Here is a 16097-nt window from a genome sequence, read left to right as displayed (position 1 = left end):
AGTCAGTGAAGTTGGTTGCAGGAGAGAGGGTTTAGCTTAAGTACATCCAGCAGCCACTGATGGATGTCACATTGCTGCTCTGGTCTCCTTAGCACCACGTTCTTCCCAGCTCTGTGGCTTGTGTCCAAGCAGTCCAGGAGATAATCCCTGAAATTTGGAACTTGTGCTTATTTTGGAGCTATGCAGACAGCAAAAACCTTGAGTCCTCCCATGTAGTAATACATGGAATCTGAGTTTGGGTGATAAGATTGGCGAAGGAGTTCAATGGTGGGGAAATGGAAAGGCTACCAAATAATCACTCTCCTACCCAAATGAATGGGATTACTAATAAGTCGTAAGTGCTTGCCCCAACAGAAAAAAAAAATCACCTTACACCCTGACAGTGTCGACAACGTATTACTTGATGCAAATATGCATAAACACATCGCAAAGTATAGAAGTAGTAATGCTATGGTTTAGAAGTTAGATTTGTGGGGTGTATTGAAAGGACTACAAGAAGTAAGAAAAACGGAGTTTTAGGAAGTGTCACAAAAAGTAAAAATAAGCCCTGGATCAAAGACATATGTCTCACAATCCTGCTTATAATACACAGAGAGCAAATTGGAAGACAGATACATAAATGAATGAATGAATGAGTGAATAAATAAATATGTGTGAAAAATATATATAGGAAAAATATTTTTAAAAAAGAAAGAATACTTTATAAACTTAAAAACAAACTTCAAAGGAAACTAGGACAATATAATAAAGCAATATTCTTTATTATTATTCTTTATTTAATATTCCATAGCATGCAATTTTATATTTTATACACATTTAGAATGACTTTCATAGAAATTTGGCATTTGACCACATACTAAGAGCTGGGAGGACAGCAGCCAGGTTGTGGCCCAGCCTCTCTATTTCTTATAGAAAGGTCTAGGGATTCTCTGGCAACGCCCTGAGGCTCAGGCCCCATAGCTCCTCGGAAGCTGGGCATTGCCACTCAGGCTGGTGGCAGCGCTGGTGGCAGCGCTGGTGGTGGTCAGGCCTTCCTTGGGGCTGCCCGTGATCAGGCCCACAGTGCTGGTGTGAGAAAGGAAACAAAATTAGAGCTACCGTGCAGCCCCCTCCAGGAGCCAACCTTGTTTCATCTCAGTCTTGCAGGCTGGGCTTTGTTTCCAGTAGTCATGAGGTCCCCGAGCAGGAGGACCAGGACAGCTCTGGCAGGAAGCCCATTCAGTGGGACTCACCAGACACCAAGACGGCTGTCTGTGTCTGTCTCTCTCTGTCACATACACTCACACATGCACTGATTATATCATAAGCATTTTTCACTGATTATATCATAAGCATTTTTCCTGTTATTTAAAAACTTTTATTGAGCAATTTTTTTTCTTTTTTTTTTTTTTAATTTTAGAGACAGGGTCTTGATCTGTTACCCAGGCTGGAGTGCAGTGGCACAATCACAGCTCACTGCAGCCTCAAACTCCTGGGCTTAAGTGATCCTCCCACCTCAGCATCCCAAGTAGCTGGGACTACAGCACAAGCCACCATACCCTGCTAATGTTTTTAAAAAAATTTTGTAGAGAGGGGGTTAGGGGTTCTTGCTTTGTGGTCCAAGCTGGTCTTGAATTATGGGACATATGTCTTTGATCCAGGGCTTATTTTGTCTTATTTCTTGTAGTCCTTTCAATAAATCTTTGTCCACACCAAGATGCTCTAAGCACACAGAAAAATCAGTGAGGTATTAGTTGATGAGATGATTGTCTAGCAACAATAACCAGTGGAAAAATGAATCACCGATAGTTAATGGCTAATCCTAAAGTAAGGACACACCCATCCCCCCACAAAAAATATGAAAGGGAGTAACAAGTGCAGATATCAGAATCAAGCTTGCCCCGAAGTAGGCAATATTAAAAGCATAAAAAGTGTCTCATTCCTGGGTCTCTTATGCTGTGCTCTCCCAGCTCAGGGCTCTTTCTAGGATATCGCCTGCTACCTGCCTTCCTGGGATCATTGTAAAGACTAAATTAGATCATACATGTGAGAACATGCTGACATGGAAATTCCTGTGCAATGTCAAGAATTCTTGCCAGCCTTTCAGAAAATGGATCAAATCCAATTCACTTTAACTTTCTGGTCCTAAAAATAAATATCACACAGAGCATCTCATTGATCCAGTGGGTGGGGGAAGAAAAAAAAAGCAAAGCCCGTCTTTGATTCACTTCCAAGATAGTGTTGTTGTTGTTGTTGTTTTATCAACAAATGGAAAATAAGGCAAACAGGTATTGATTTGTTTATTTATATATAGGTAGTTAGTGCTTTTCAAAATAACTTTTACCTGATTATAAAGGACTACTTGTCCATTGTAAAAATTTTGAAAAATACAGAAATGAATAAGGAACATAATGTCACTACCCAGAGATAACCAATTAATGGCTTGGCCTAGTTAGTTCCGTCTAGATTTTTTCTGCATATGAATAAGAGTTGAGAATACACTGTATATAGGGTTTTATATTCTGATTTTTCACTGATTATATCATAAGCATTTTTCCTGTTATTTAAGAAACTTTTGTTGAGTTTTTTTTGTTTTGTTTTGTTTTTAATTTTAGAGACAGAGTCTTGCCCTGTTGACCAGGCTGGAGTGCAGTAACACAATCACAGCTCACTGCAGTCTCAGACTCCTGGGCTCAAGTGATCCTCCCACCTCAGCCTCCCAAGTAGGTGGGACTACAGCCATGAGCCACCATACCTTGCTAATTAAAAAAAAAAAAAATTGTAGAGAAGGTGTTGGGGGTTCTTGCTTTGTTGCTCAGGCTCGTCTCAAACTCCTGGCCTCAGGCAATCCTTTTGCCTCAGCCTCCCAAAGCACTGGAATTACAGGTGTGAGCCTCCACGCCTGGCCTGAACATGGTTTTTTTTTTTGGTTGGTGTTGTTTTCGTTTGTTTGTTTGAGACAAAGTCTCGCTCTGTTGCCCAGGCTAGTGTGCAGTGGCGCCATCTCGGCTCACTGCAGCCTCCACCTCCCAGGTTCAAGTGATTCTCCTGCCTCAGCCTCCCGAGTAGCTGGCACTACAAGTGCATGCCACCATGCCCGGCTAATTTTTTGTATTTTTAGTAGAGACGGGGTTTTACCATGTTAGCCAGGATGGTCTCGATCTCCTGACCTCGTGATCCACCCACCTCCGCCTTCTAAAGTGCTGGGATTACAGGCATGAGCTGAACACACTTTTTAGTGGCTGAATAATATTCCATGGTATTTGACATTATTTTGGGTTGTTCGCTTAGAACAGATTTCTAAAAAATGCTTTTGTTAAATAAGAGGCTATGACTCTTTTAAGACTTTTCATACATCATGATTAGAACATTGCAAGCCAGAACTATTAGGGGACGACTCTAGTGTAAAAACACTCAGAAACATAGATGCAGACTAATTGGCTCCTCCTAGCTCCACCATTGTATATTTTTATTTCCAAATCCTGTTTCTAATACTCTGGAAGAAAAATCTGTTCTCTTTTGTGGGATACGTAAGTTAATTCTTGGACGGCAGCACAGCGATCGTTTACAGGTTGTTCAGTTTGAATAGCTATTAATGCTCGTGCAAAATAAACCAAAGAGCCACAGAAACACATTTTTGCTGGTGAAAATTGTGTTCGCCAACATCATTTCTCACTCCAGCTTATGATGTCAGGCATCATATTTCTCCATTATTAATGTACTATGCCAGTGGGGGGAGGTCCTCTTGGAAGGAGATTAAAAAGACACCACCACCTCAAATCCCCCTTCCTAATAATGTGAGAATGTCCGGAAGCCTGGGGGGTTGGTGCAGTAGCTCACAGTGTCAGACAACACCCTGTGGAGGATTAGCTTCCTTTCCATTAACCATCTCCACTGTAGAGAGTCAGGGGTCACTTGTACTCACCAGAGAAAACCTGACTTAGGCAAAGTCACTATTCATCTGTTCAGCACCACATACCTATAAAGCCTCAGAAACCGCTATTCAGTGACTGAATACATTTCTCACCTTCCCATCACTTTCCCCTTACTTGGCCATTTTCCTAAACCCATAATTCAAACTTTCCCAAAGAAAAAAAATAATCTCTAGGTAATGCTCTTAAGAATTCTTAGAAAGAAATCTTTATTCTTTGAGCACTCTTCTGGGAAACCTAACCTGTGATTACTGTTAGGACTCAAAATGTTTCACCACCTGCATCTACGTAGATAGGATGAGGAGTCTGGGGAAATAATGGAGCCAATAGGCTTTTAGCTTGAGGAGCGTGGATTCTAAAGCCAGGGACACTCATGAAAACAACCACCTGGCGGATTACACCCTAACGTTGAAACTGTGGCAAAGTACCTTTTAATTGCAAAAGGGTTTAGGCAGAGATTTATCTTTGAGTTCCTTGGCAATAAATGTTTACCCACTTTACCACTGTTACTATAGAATGGGGAAGGTTTAAGGTAGAAAATTTAAGAAAAATAATGGGAAGATGCCTAAATGAGGAGGGAGGGGTTGGTCCTTCTCTGAATATTTAAAAAATCCACAACATGTTTACATTCCGAGGGTGGTAAGTGGGGAGGGTGAGGTCTGGGGAGGGACCTTCCCCAGATGGGAGCCCCGTCTGTATGTGAGCAGAGAGAAAAAGACCCTGCATAGAACGGTGGTGCCCTTTGGACCCATTCATAGCCTCCTTGTGAACTGGAGCTTTCTTTTTCCAGAGCAGGGACCCAGACAGACAGAGGGGTCAACTCTCTGACCCCTCCTCTAGCTTTTATGAATTAAATTCCTCAGACGTAATTCCCAGCTCTCATCCAGCGGCTGGAACACAGGGAGTGAATGAGAGCCAAACAGGTGCCTTCATTCTCACCTTTGCCGGGCTGCTGTGCTGTCGTGACTGGGGATCTCGACATCCCGAGCAATGCCGTGTTTGCCACACTGGCAACAGTAACAGAGCAATCTGCAGCCGGCTTCGGGATCGAAATTTGCAAACTCAGGATCCTGGGCTTCAGGCCAATGCAGGCTGGGTGCGTTGCAGTGGTGACACGTTTAGTCTCTAGGGAGGGATGCTGGCACACCAGCTGCATTCCTGGCAGCACGCTTGCCAGTGCGAAACTTAACGAGTGGAGCTGGTATCAACTCCAGAGGGAGACTCAAGCTGCTTCCTTAACTTCTTTGGCAATACTCCCCTCTGCAACTTGTGCGCAGTACACCCTCCTGAATATTTACAGGAGCTGCTATTTGCGATACTATTTGGGGCCCTGTTGGATAGTACTTTGAAGGGAAGTGCTAAAACGATAGCAGCCTTCCAGTTTACAAATGTAACTATAGTATTCCTGAATAATTCAATTTCCTAAAATTGGCACTTAACTGTGCAATGACTTATTTCTTGCTGGGAAGGGATTCTAATCCCACCCCCCACCCCCCACTCACCACCCCACACATACTTTTAAAAATAGCTTCTACTTTTGCCAAGAGGAGCGCCTAGTATTTACTATTGGAGGATATGTGAATTAAAATACCAGCTTCTTTCCCTGTTGCAATCCACCGGCACTATATTAGCTGAGTTCTCTGCTACCTGAGAGGAACGTATCCTCAACAGAAATGCCTTAGTTTTTCAGAATGCCTCACCCACCTCTCTTATTTGTGCTTGGAAGGCAACGTGAGCTAGAATTTGGCCACTTAGTATTCAGACCATGTCAGGATTCAAGTAAAAAGCCTATATTGCAGAGCTGGATGCACCGTCGCCAGGCCAAACACAGTCAACAGTTCAAATCACAGTTAAATTATAAGAAAGCGTGGGGCGAAACATGCAAACCTGCCTTGTCAATGAAGCAGTAGAGATAAAAGGAATTACTCCATAAATGCTAGCTTGTGGGGCTTTAATGAATACAGAGATGGTGTTCTTTCCAGCTACATCCCATTGATTATAAAGGCTAGTTAGGATTTTAAACATAATGCTTTCTTCTTCCTCCTCCTCCTCCTCCTTTTCCTCCTTGCCTCCCCTCCTCCTCCTCTTTCTCCTCCTCCTCCTTCACTTTTGTCTTCTTTTAACATGCAAAGCATTTCCCAAAGTATGGAGAAATGAACAATACCTCTGTGTATTTCCACAGTTTTGCAAAGGGACGGTGGTGTTAGCAGGCCAAGTATCTACTACTGGAAGCATCATATGTAGCAGAGGAAATGCAGTTAATACAATAATTCACATATGTTAATGCTTAGTTCCATCAATGTCAGCTTTATTTTCTTCTTGATATACACAAAGCTGGCACACAGTTTTAACTGATGAGGTAATGTCATTTTTAATTTAGAGAGCCTTAAGCTGTCCACTTTTACTAGTGATAGCATCGTTGCAGTTGTCTCCTGAGACTTTATGTAAACATAAGTCATGCGTCCCGGGCAGTTTGAGAAGAGATTGTTAAAGATGACATTGGGCATCATGAAGATTTCCCCCACTTTGATCTCTTTTAAATTGCCAGATACAGTTTATGTTACTGCCATATTTTAGCCATTCCTGAAATTAATATATCCCAGGACTTTTGAACCAAGTTAAGTACAGAAATAAAACAAAGGTTGGAAATGAATGCCTTGTAATGTTTTCATGTCATTTCAAGAAGAAAAATGGAAGATGAATCAGATTCTCTTGCTCCTAGGTGACTTGGTAAATAAAAAGAGAAGAAAGAGCAAGCTCCTAAGAAATACATAACACCAAATAGACAAAAGCTTTCTTATTTTCCTAGGGGACACTAGTGTATTGGTGATGGCTTTGTACATTTTAAAGATAAATAAGATCCAACTATCTCTTATCTTTGTGTTAACTTTTTAGTAATATTTTATTGTCACTTTCCTTACGATTTGTATCCTTAGTGTCATTATTAAGCCTGAATTTTAAATCTCATCACTTTTGTGGTATCAAGCGTTTCTTTCTCAAACAACGAGATTTCTTTAAAGACTCAAACAATGATATTCCTTTAAATATTCAGACTAGTGGGTATAAACAAAGTTATTTTCCATTTTTAACTAAACTTTTTCTTGGGAGAAATTATGCTCTAGAATCCAAGTGTCATTTGGGGGAAGATAATCTGTGTTTTAACTATTGGATGTGGCTACTGAGAGACTATTTTCAAAGAAGTCTGGAGTTTGGTGGAATGCAGTTAAATAGTAAAGAATCTGTTTATTATTCTGTGGCCATATGTTTAGAGGGTCGCTCACAGAAATCAAAGTATTGTTCATAGAGAGCTCCAGCCAAGGAGACATTTTGAATTCATAAAAGAACTTCACAGTTTGAAAAGAATGCATAGCATTATGTATTGACACCCCACCACCATAGACAAAGGAACACAATTTAATAATAGAGGATTGTGCTCATGAGATTTTTCTTTTTCTTTTTAATTGGTTACTTTAACTGACATTGTCTGCAAGTATAATGGACACCATTATTCTTAATAGTTGTGTGTTGCCAGATGTATACAGACATGATGTAGTCCATTTTAATTATTTCATTTTGCTAGACTTTTTTTTCCCTCCATTTAATGCAGTGATGAATGCAGATAGAACTTTTTTTTCTTCCTGGCACACTATGCTGGATGATGCTGGTGTCTAAATTATTGAAATTAAAAGGGCATTTCTCACCAACCTAATGTTTTCTTCCATGTTTGTGTATTAGGTATGACTACGTGGAAGTCTTCGATGGAGAAAATGAAAATGGACATTTTAGGGGAAAGTTCTGTGGAAAGATAGCCCCTCCTCCTGTTGTGTCTTCAGGGCCATTTCTTTTTATCAAATTTGTCTCTGACTACGAAACACATGGTGCAGGATTTTCCATACGTTATGAAATTTTCAAGAGAGGTGAGTGAACAGCTTACGGTAGAACAAGAATGACTAAGAGTTCATTTAGGCCGAGTGTGGTGGCTCACCCCTGTAATCTCAGCACTTTGGGAGGCCGAGGCAGGTGGATCACTTGAGCTCAGGAATTCAAGACCAGCCTGGCCAACATGGTGAAACCCAGTCTCCACTAAAAATACAAAAATTAGCCAGGCATGATGGCATATGCCAGTAATCCCAGCTACTCAGGAGGCTAAGGCGGGAGAATCACTTGAACCTGGGAGGTGGAGGTTGCAGTGAGCCGAGCACAGGCCATTGCACTCTGGCCTGGGCAACAGAGCGAGACTCTGTCTCAAAAAAAAAAAAAAAATTTATTTAACATTGTTTGATTTCACGAAAGACAAAGTGAAAAGGAAGTCAGAAGTAATGCTTTTATCCTTTTGTAAAACATATATCCTCATTATAAAAATGTAGGGAAGTACTTTAAATAAAGGTAAATTACCCATTGTATGGAGGAAGTGTATTTAAAATTGAAAAAAAAAATGTATTTCAGCAATCAAAATTGTACCCATCTGAAGTGTTGGCCAGTGTTATAAGGCAGCAGTCTCCAACCTTTTTGGCATCAGGGACCAGCTTCATGGAAGAAAATTTTTCTACTGACAGGGTTTGGGGGATGGTTTCAGAATAATTCAAGTGCATTACATTTATTGTGCACTTTATTCCTATCATCATTACTTTGTAATATATAATGAAATAATTATACAACTCACCATAAGGTAGAATCAGTGGGAGCCCTTAGCTTGTTTTTCTGCAACCAGACGGTCCCATATACAGGTGATGGGAGACAGTGACAGATCCTCAGGCATTAGATTCTCGTATAAGGAGTGCGCAACCTGGATTTCTTGCACACACAGTTCACAATAGGGTTTGCGCTCCTATGAGAATCTAGTGCTGCTGCTGATCTGACAGGAGGAGGAGTTCAGGTGGTAGTGCCAGTGATGGGGAGTGGCTGTAAATACAGACAACACTTTGCTCGCCTGCCACTCGCCTCCTGCTGTGTGGCTAAGTTCCTAACAGACCACAAACTGGTACCAGTCTGCAGTCCGAGGGTTGGGGACCTCAGTTATAAGGTATACACTCCATTAGCTTTTTAAAAAGCATTTATTCTTATCTGTCTTCTTCAAAAATAAGTTTGATCTATCCTTGAAGTCTGATTTCTTTCATTAAAAATGCATTAGCCAGCCATGGTGGCGCATGCATGTGATCAGTTCCAGCTACTTAGGAGGTTGAGGTGGGAGGGCTGCCTGAGCCCAGGAGTTGGAGGCTGCAGTTGAGCCTTGATCGTGCCGCTGCACTCCAGTCTGGGTGACAGAGCAAGACCCTGTCTCTAAATATAAATGTAAAAATAATTTAAAAGTAATAAACAAATTAACAAACATGTAACTTTATCTGGTTGCCACTGTTTTTAGCAACTGCCTATAAATTCCTTTTGTGTGTGAAATTCAGCCTTCCTATTATTTACATTTTTAAGTTGGCATTAATGTATAGAAAACCAATCCAGGGAAAGAGGATCAAGATTTGAATGTATTGTCTTGGAATACAGAAGAAAAAGCTTGTTTCGATAGAAAAAAAACTAACTACATCAATTTCAAAAGCCTTCGGTCTTCTGGGTTCATGATAACTGAGAAAAATGTAAAGGGGAGTTGTTGGGGATCCAGGAAACGTTGCGACAACTTCTTTACATTTCAAAGATATTTGGCTCTGACACCACATAAATAGGGAATAGATGGAGAGAACTTTCAGAAATTCATCTAAGCACATAAGTACTTAGAACACCTTTCGTATAGATAATAGTATACATATGATATCAGCATAAACAGAGGATGGATGTACATATTTTTAGTGATGAAAACTGTTTGACTTGTTATAGAAGTCATATTATACGTGTCTGTATATGTACACACACATATGTACACCTGCTTGCTTACCTGTATGTGGCACTATCAAAGACAAAGGTGTCAGAAAAGGGGCTAGGAATAGCCTTTTATTTTCAGTTTTCTTAGAGATCTGAAGACAGTTGAAGGAGAAAAGAGAGATTTGTCACTAACTCATGAAGAATTCTTTGTGTTCCTTCCAAAGGAACTCAGCTCCCTACGTATCTGTTAGTCTCAGATGTAGCAAAGCTTCCTATCCTGCTCTCCAAGCCCATTCTTCAGACTTGAAGTCTTCTTTTGTTCTTTGTCTTCTTGACTTCCCACATCCAATACGGCATCCACTGCTTTTTAATTTTCATCCAAAGGTCTCAAAGACTCTCAGCTTCTTTTCCATGTCACTGCCATTAACCAAATAGGCCCAGTTGTGGCCCTCCCATGTGACTCTATCCTGCTCACAGCTTCTCAAACAGGCAGGAAGCCACTGTCCTCAAAATGTCCACACTGGGTCTCTGTCACCCCACTGGGCAAGATTGAGGTCCTGCTCAAAACAGCATCAACTGCATAAAAATCATTAATATAATTCATTTATGAAAACATATATATATGTATACACACACACACAAAAGCACAGGTCATGAATGTTTTTCCCTCAAAAGCCCTTTAATGATATTATAGAATTCATGGATCATTATTCTTTTGAAGATACAGTACTTCTTTCAGGATGCAGCAATTTCAAGTTTCCTGAAAACACATAAATTACACTAATCATAGTTTAATGCAACCAGAATGGCCTTGAGGTTTCCGGTGTGAGGTCACAGTTCTAAGAGACATTTAGGCCATTCCAGAGTCCCCGGGTTGCATTGCTCCAGGGTCATCTTTGCCTGACAGTCAACAAGGCCAGCCCCGCTTCTTCCTGCCTTCCTGGAGCCATGTTGGACCGCCCTAATTCTCCTCCTAAGAGCCCCTCTTTTCCTTCTACATGTCTCTTCCCAGATGCTGAAACTTTGGGCCACCAGCCCTACATTTATTTCCAATCGCCTAAAGAGATTTCTCTAGGAAACTCAAGCCTCCCCACTGATCTCTGTTCCCATCCTTCCCTTGGTCTTCAGGCCCAGATGCTGGAAGAAGCTGCTGCTGTTTCCTATGGGTCTCAGTGCAAGGGGGACGGGGGACGGGGGTGGGTGCCATTTACTGAGGGCAGACTTGGTCACTTGATATATGTTATGTGATTGAGAGTTTGTGCATTTAATAATAATTCCAAAGAGAGTATCTTGACTGTTATTATTCTCTGTCCTTATTGTCCTTGGCAACTAAATGGTGGCATTCCTTATAGCTATACAAGTTACTCCTGTTCTTACAAGTAAAGAGGAGAGCTCATGTTCACTAACTCCAAATGCCTGTGTGAGTGCCACTTACTCCTAGGCACCCAGGGCTGTTGGCCTCACTCCTGCTCATCTCCTGTGTTGTATTCTCATCTCCTGTGTTCTCAAACTGCTGTAAAGAAATACCTGAGACTGGGTAATTTATAAAGGAAAGAGGTTTAATTGGCTCACAGTTCTGCAAGCTGTATAGGAAGCTGATGTTCACACCTGCTCAGCTTCTGGGTAGGCCTCAGGAAACTGACAATCATGGCAGAAGGCAAAGGGGAAGCACATGTCACAATGGCCGGAGCAGGAGCAAGAGAGAGGGGAGGGGAGGTGCTACACGTTTTTTTGTTTTTTGTGTTTTGTTTTGAGACAGAGTCTCACTCTGTTGCTCAGGCTGGAGTGCAGTGGCACGATCTTGGCTCACTGCAATCTCCGCCTCCCGGGTTCACGCCATTCTCCTGCCTCAGCCTCCCAAGTAGCTGGGACTACAGGCGCCCGCCACTATGCCCGGCTAATTTTTTGTATTTTTAGTAGAGACGGGGTTTCACCGTGTTAGCCAGGATGGTACACGTTTTTAAACAACCAGTTCTCATGAGAACTCACTTACTATTGCAAGGACAAGGCCAAGAGGGGATAGTGCTAAACTATTCATGAGAAATCCACCCCCATGATTCAATCACCTCCCACCAGACCCCACCTCCACCATTGGGGATTACAATTCGACATGAGATTTGGTGGGGACACAGATCCAAACACTATCACGTGTATTCACCATGGACTTTCTTAACCCCTTTTCTGCCATTGTCCTTTTGCGAGAAAGTGCTTCTTCAACTATGGTAAACTGAAACAACAGTGAATAAGGAAAATATTAAAACAAATTTTGGTGTATAGTGGACAAAATATGAAGTTACAGAATCTTTAAATTGGAAGAGATTTTAGTTTTCAAATTCTAAAGTCCAACTCACATTTGTCATGCGCAGAATTTGAGAACCAGAAATGTTGAGAGGCCACCCAAGTTTACACAGCGGGTGAGTGAATCTCAGGACTGGGATTCAGGTCTCCTGGGGCTCCATCCAGTTCTTGTCCATCGCCCCATGGAATGTCCCCATGTTTTGTCGAAATACACAAGAAAACCTGGGATCACTTCCATAGCATGACAAGGGCAAAGTGAAAGCACCAAAATTCACTTGCTTTTGAAAGTATGACCTTAATTCCTGTCATTTTTTTCTCAATAAATCTTAATCTGAACTGAAACATTTTATCTTTTTAAGAAGGAGAAAATATTAGTATCTGCATGAAACCTTGCTGTTTCATGCAGATACTAATAAACCATGGCTTACAAGAATGTAGCCAAAGCGGTTTTTTCCCCAGGGAAGAGTTTGGAGGTCTCCAGGGTAACTGTTTCTACACTGTGGATATAAAATCCTAAAGGGTCCCCAATATCATGTATGTATATATATATTTTTTCTTTGTGGATAAATGACTCAAATTAGCATAGTCGCTGTCATCTCAGAAGCCACCAGAGTAATTTAGAAACTAAGATTATAAACCATACAGCACATGTCATAATCTCTACCTGGAACTGACCTGGCGAATTGCCACGTTACCAACTTTTGAACCAGAATCAAATAGATAAGCATTTGCAGCTCTCATGGTGAAGGGTGAGCCACGTCCAAGAAGGTTTGAGAGGTATTTCAAATAAGTCAGACCTCTGCAGACCAGGTTTACTGGGCCCATCTAAGAATTCTTCTGCATCTGCAATGCCATGGATCCATGGATAGCCGATATGTGCATGAGGAGGAAAGGATTGATTTGTTTTCTCAACAGGCTGCCAGATGCACTCTGTTGGTATTCAGCCTCCTGACCTGAATCACTAAAACTAGAGACCTGCTAGTTAGTTAACTTTAATCTCTATTGATGTCTAATAAGTCGCCTCTAGTTGCCTGGCACTTTGGGAGAATGTTTAGTTAAGAACAATCTCAACAAAGCACCTTATTTAGAATTGAATCCTTGCATGTCATTGCCGGGGCCCCATCACGTCTGCCTTCAAGCCACTGTGAGAAAATGATGCAGGAAAAGAGTTGTTGAACTGAACACCCCCAGATTTGATCCTGAAATTCAAAAGGATAAAGACTTCTCTGATTCACAAGTGTCTTAAGTGTAGCTATTTGAAGATCATAGCAGCAGGTGGTATTCAGGGACTGAGCTGATGTGCTCATGTTGGTAGAGAAGGCAGTTTTGGGTTTTTTTGGTTGTTGTTTGTTTGTTTGTTTGTTTGTTTTTTGAGGCGGAGTCTGGCTGGCTCTGTCACCCAGGCTGGAGTGCAGTGGTGTGATCTCGGCTCACTGCAACCTCTGCCTCCCGGGTTCAAGCAATTCTCCTGTCTCAGCCTCTTGGGTAGCTGGGATTACAGGTGCCCACGACCACGCCCAGCTAATTTTTCTATTTTTAGTAGAGACTGGGGTTTCCCTATGTTGGCCAGGCTGGTCTCGAACTCCTGACCTCAGGTGATCCGCCCACCTCAGCCTCCCAAAGTGCTGGCATTACAGGCATGAGCCATTGTGCACACCCGGCCAAGAAGGGCAGTTTTTGAATTGTGTAGTGAATACCACCCTATGCTGGTTACCATGAATTGAAATTGGAGTCATTCATACAGGCATAAGGTCAACCTGCACTATATGCATGGATGCTCTTGACCAATTTCAATGACAAATCACCATAATTTGTAAAGTCCTGGTGGTACTGAACAGTCATTAAAATTACACATTATAAATATATGCATTACACACACACACACATCTATTAACATGCAATTTTAGAATGGCGTACTATACTGTGTCTGATACTTCGGGGAAGGTTAGGATGTCAGCATTGATATCAGGTGACTTCCGGCATCATGGCCTGTAATCACAGTTTATCGTGCCCTCACTAACAGCCACACTTTACCGGCCCACCTGTGTCAACACCACTCAGAATGAGTCACTCACCCTTGGTACATGTACGAATTACCTTTCACATTTCGTTTGTCAAAGAGGCATAGGTCACATCTGGCAGAGTTACTGAGTCACTGGTGTAGGAATCTGAAACCCAAACTGCCTCCACTGAATTCTCTCCCTCGCCTTTATAAATGTTCTATTTCACCAATAAAGGGCTGTCAGCCTCAAGATTTAAAGGTTTAAGCTTGAAGGGGCCATAATTATTTCTCTAGGGCTCTGTTGAGATTTCTGCAGCTTACTCATTCATTGTTCCCACATGATTTTATATTTGTCATATTTTTCCCTGCAACAGCAGAAGTCTTTAAATTGCTCCATACAAATGGAAAGCTAAGGTTAACACAATAAATCTGAACTTGACTTTCCATACCCATTTTACTAATATGAAAAGGCTGACTAATACATGATTAGAACAGTGGTTATACTGGCGGGCTTTTATTAGAAAGATGTTCTGTCTTTACCCAGGTTATTTCTTGGGGAAGTTGTTTAAGTGGGATTTTCACTTTACTCCTTTTTCTCTTCTACTCATAGGTCCTGAATGTTCCCAGAACTACACAACACCTAGTGGAGTGATAAAGTCCCCCGGATTCCCTGAAAAATATCCCAACAGCCTTGAATGCACTTATATTGTCTTTGTGCCAAAGATGTCAGAGATTATCCTGGAATTTGAAAGCTTTGACCTGGAGCCTGACTCAAATCCTCCAGGGGGGATGTTCTGTCGCTACGACCGGCTAGAAATCTGGGATGGATTCCCTGATGGTAAGAATGACAGGAAGCACCCCAAAAAGGGAAGGTTCTGGAGGAAGGGCACCAGTATTCTTTTACAAGTCTCATGATACATGAATCATTAAAAAAAACCTCAAAAGGACACTGGAAAACAAAGCAAAACTCTCTATATTCAGAGCAGTGATGAAATATTTGAGCTCAAGAAGACCTTAGTAATTATCTAGTCCAATTCCTTCATTTTATAGATAAGAAGCTGAGGCCATGAAAGATTACAAAAGGTTCTTTTAGCTATTTTTGTGATATAATTGAGACAAACACATAGTTTTTCTCTCTAAACTATTTTGCTCATCCACTGACCTGGCTACTCATCATTAATTCACAGATTGTAAGAGGATGGGCTCTTAGTAATTCCATTACATCAAACCACTCATTTTATAAATGCAGAGACCAAGGACCTGAGAGGTTGAGTACTTAATAAAATTTTAAGGCTAAACTATGCATCCGTTATGCTACAAAACAAAAATTTGGAAAAGGAACGAGAATGTTTGGGCATTCCTAATTTAGACAGGTTCCCTGTACATTCTCTACAGATTTTTCATCTTAGGGAATTTGAGTCACCTCAATACATCATTTATAGTCATTGACCTATGCATTCATATACCTAAAAAATATTTCCTGAGCATCTGTCATGTACCAGGCACCATCCTAGCCACAGGGTAAGCAAAACAATGAAAGATGCTGCCCTTTGGAGTTTCTCTTCTGCCAGGTAGAAGGAAACAATAAACAATGCACGTTACAAATAAATGAATTATGTGCATGAAATGTTAGAAGGTGAGAAGTGCTATAAACAAATCTCCCCAAATGAAAGCAAGAAAAAGTACAGCAGAGTCAAGGGATGAGAAGTTGGGAGTGGGGAGGTATAGGTTGAAATTTTAAATAGGGTGGTGAGGTTAGACTTTTTTTTTTTTTTTTTTTGAGACAGAGTTTTGCTCTTGTCACCCAGGCTGGAGTTCAGTGGAGCAATCTCGGCTCACTGCAACCTCCGCCTCCCAGGTTCAAGCAATTCTTCTGCCTCAGCCTCCCGAGTAGCTGGGATTACAGGTGCACACCACCACACTCAGCTAATTTTTGCATTTTTGGTAGAGACGGGTTTTCACCATGTTGGCCAGGCTGGTCTCGAACTCCTGACCTCAAGAGATCCTCCTGCCTCAGCCTCCCAAAGTGCTGAGATTACAGGCATGAGCCTCCATGCCTGGCCGAGGTTAGACCTTAT

General features: G+C 41.5%; 1 protein-coding gene across 18 annotated transcripts in view, besides 1 other annotated feature; it reads left to right on the top strand.

Moving 5' to 3' along the window:
* Positions 1 to 16097, top strand: part of NRP1 (neuropilin 1) — a 157175-nt gene that overhangs the window by 56165 nt on the left and 84913 nt on the right. For 16 of the 18 annotated variants that reach the window (XM_047425977.1, XM_006717525.3, XM_006717524.3 and 13 more), the window contains exons 3-4: positions 7647 to 7828; positions 14630 to 14857. In XM_047425977.1, coding sequence (XP_047281933.1) covers positions 7647 to 7828; positions 14630 to 14857 — 410 coding nt within the window. The remainder of the gene's footprint in view (positions 1 to 7646; positions 7829 to 14629; positions 14858 to 16097) is intronic. The other 2 variants (NR_045259.2, XM_047425978.1) reach the window with 1 other exon arrangement.
* Positions 13578 to 14777: an enhancer, noted in NCBI's record as "P300/CBP strongly-dependent group 1 enhancer chr10:33552654-33553853 (GRCh37/hg19 assembly coordinates)". NCBI's record gives its function as "activates an origin of replication core promoter dependent on BRD2, BRD4, P300/CBP, MED14 and CDK7 cofactors, with strong dependence on P300/CBP, by STARR-seq in HCT116 cells {active_cell/tissue: HCT116}" and the evidence as "EXISTENCE:reporter gene assay evidence [ECO:0000049][PMID:35650434]".

This window comes from Homo sapiens, chromosome 10, assembly GCF_000001405.40.
Source record: "Homo sapiens chromosome 10, GRCh38.p14 Primary Assembly".
Taxonomy (NCBI): Eukaryota; Metazoa; Chordata; class Mammalia; order Primates; family Hominidae; genus Homo; species Homo sapiens.
The sequence above is the reverse complement of the archived record's forward strand: the minus strand, read 5'-3'. Positions and strand labels throughout refer to the sequence as shown.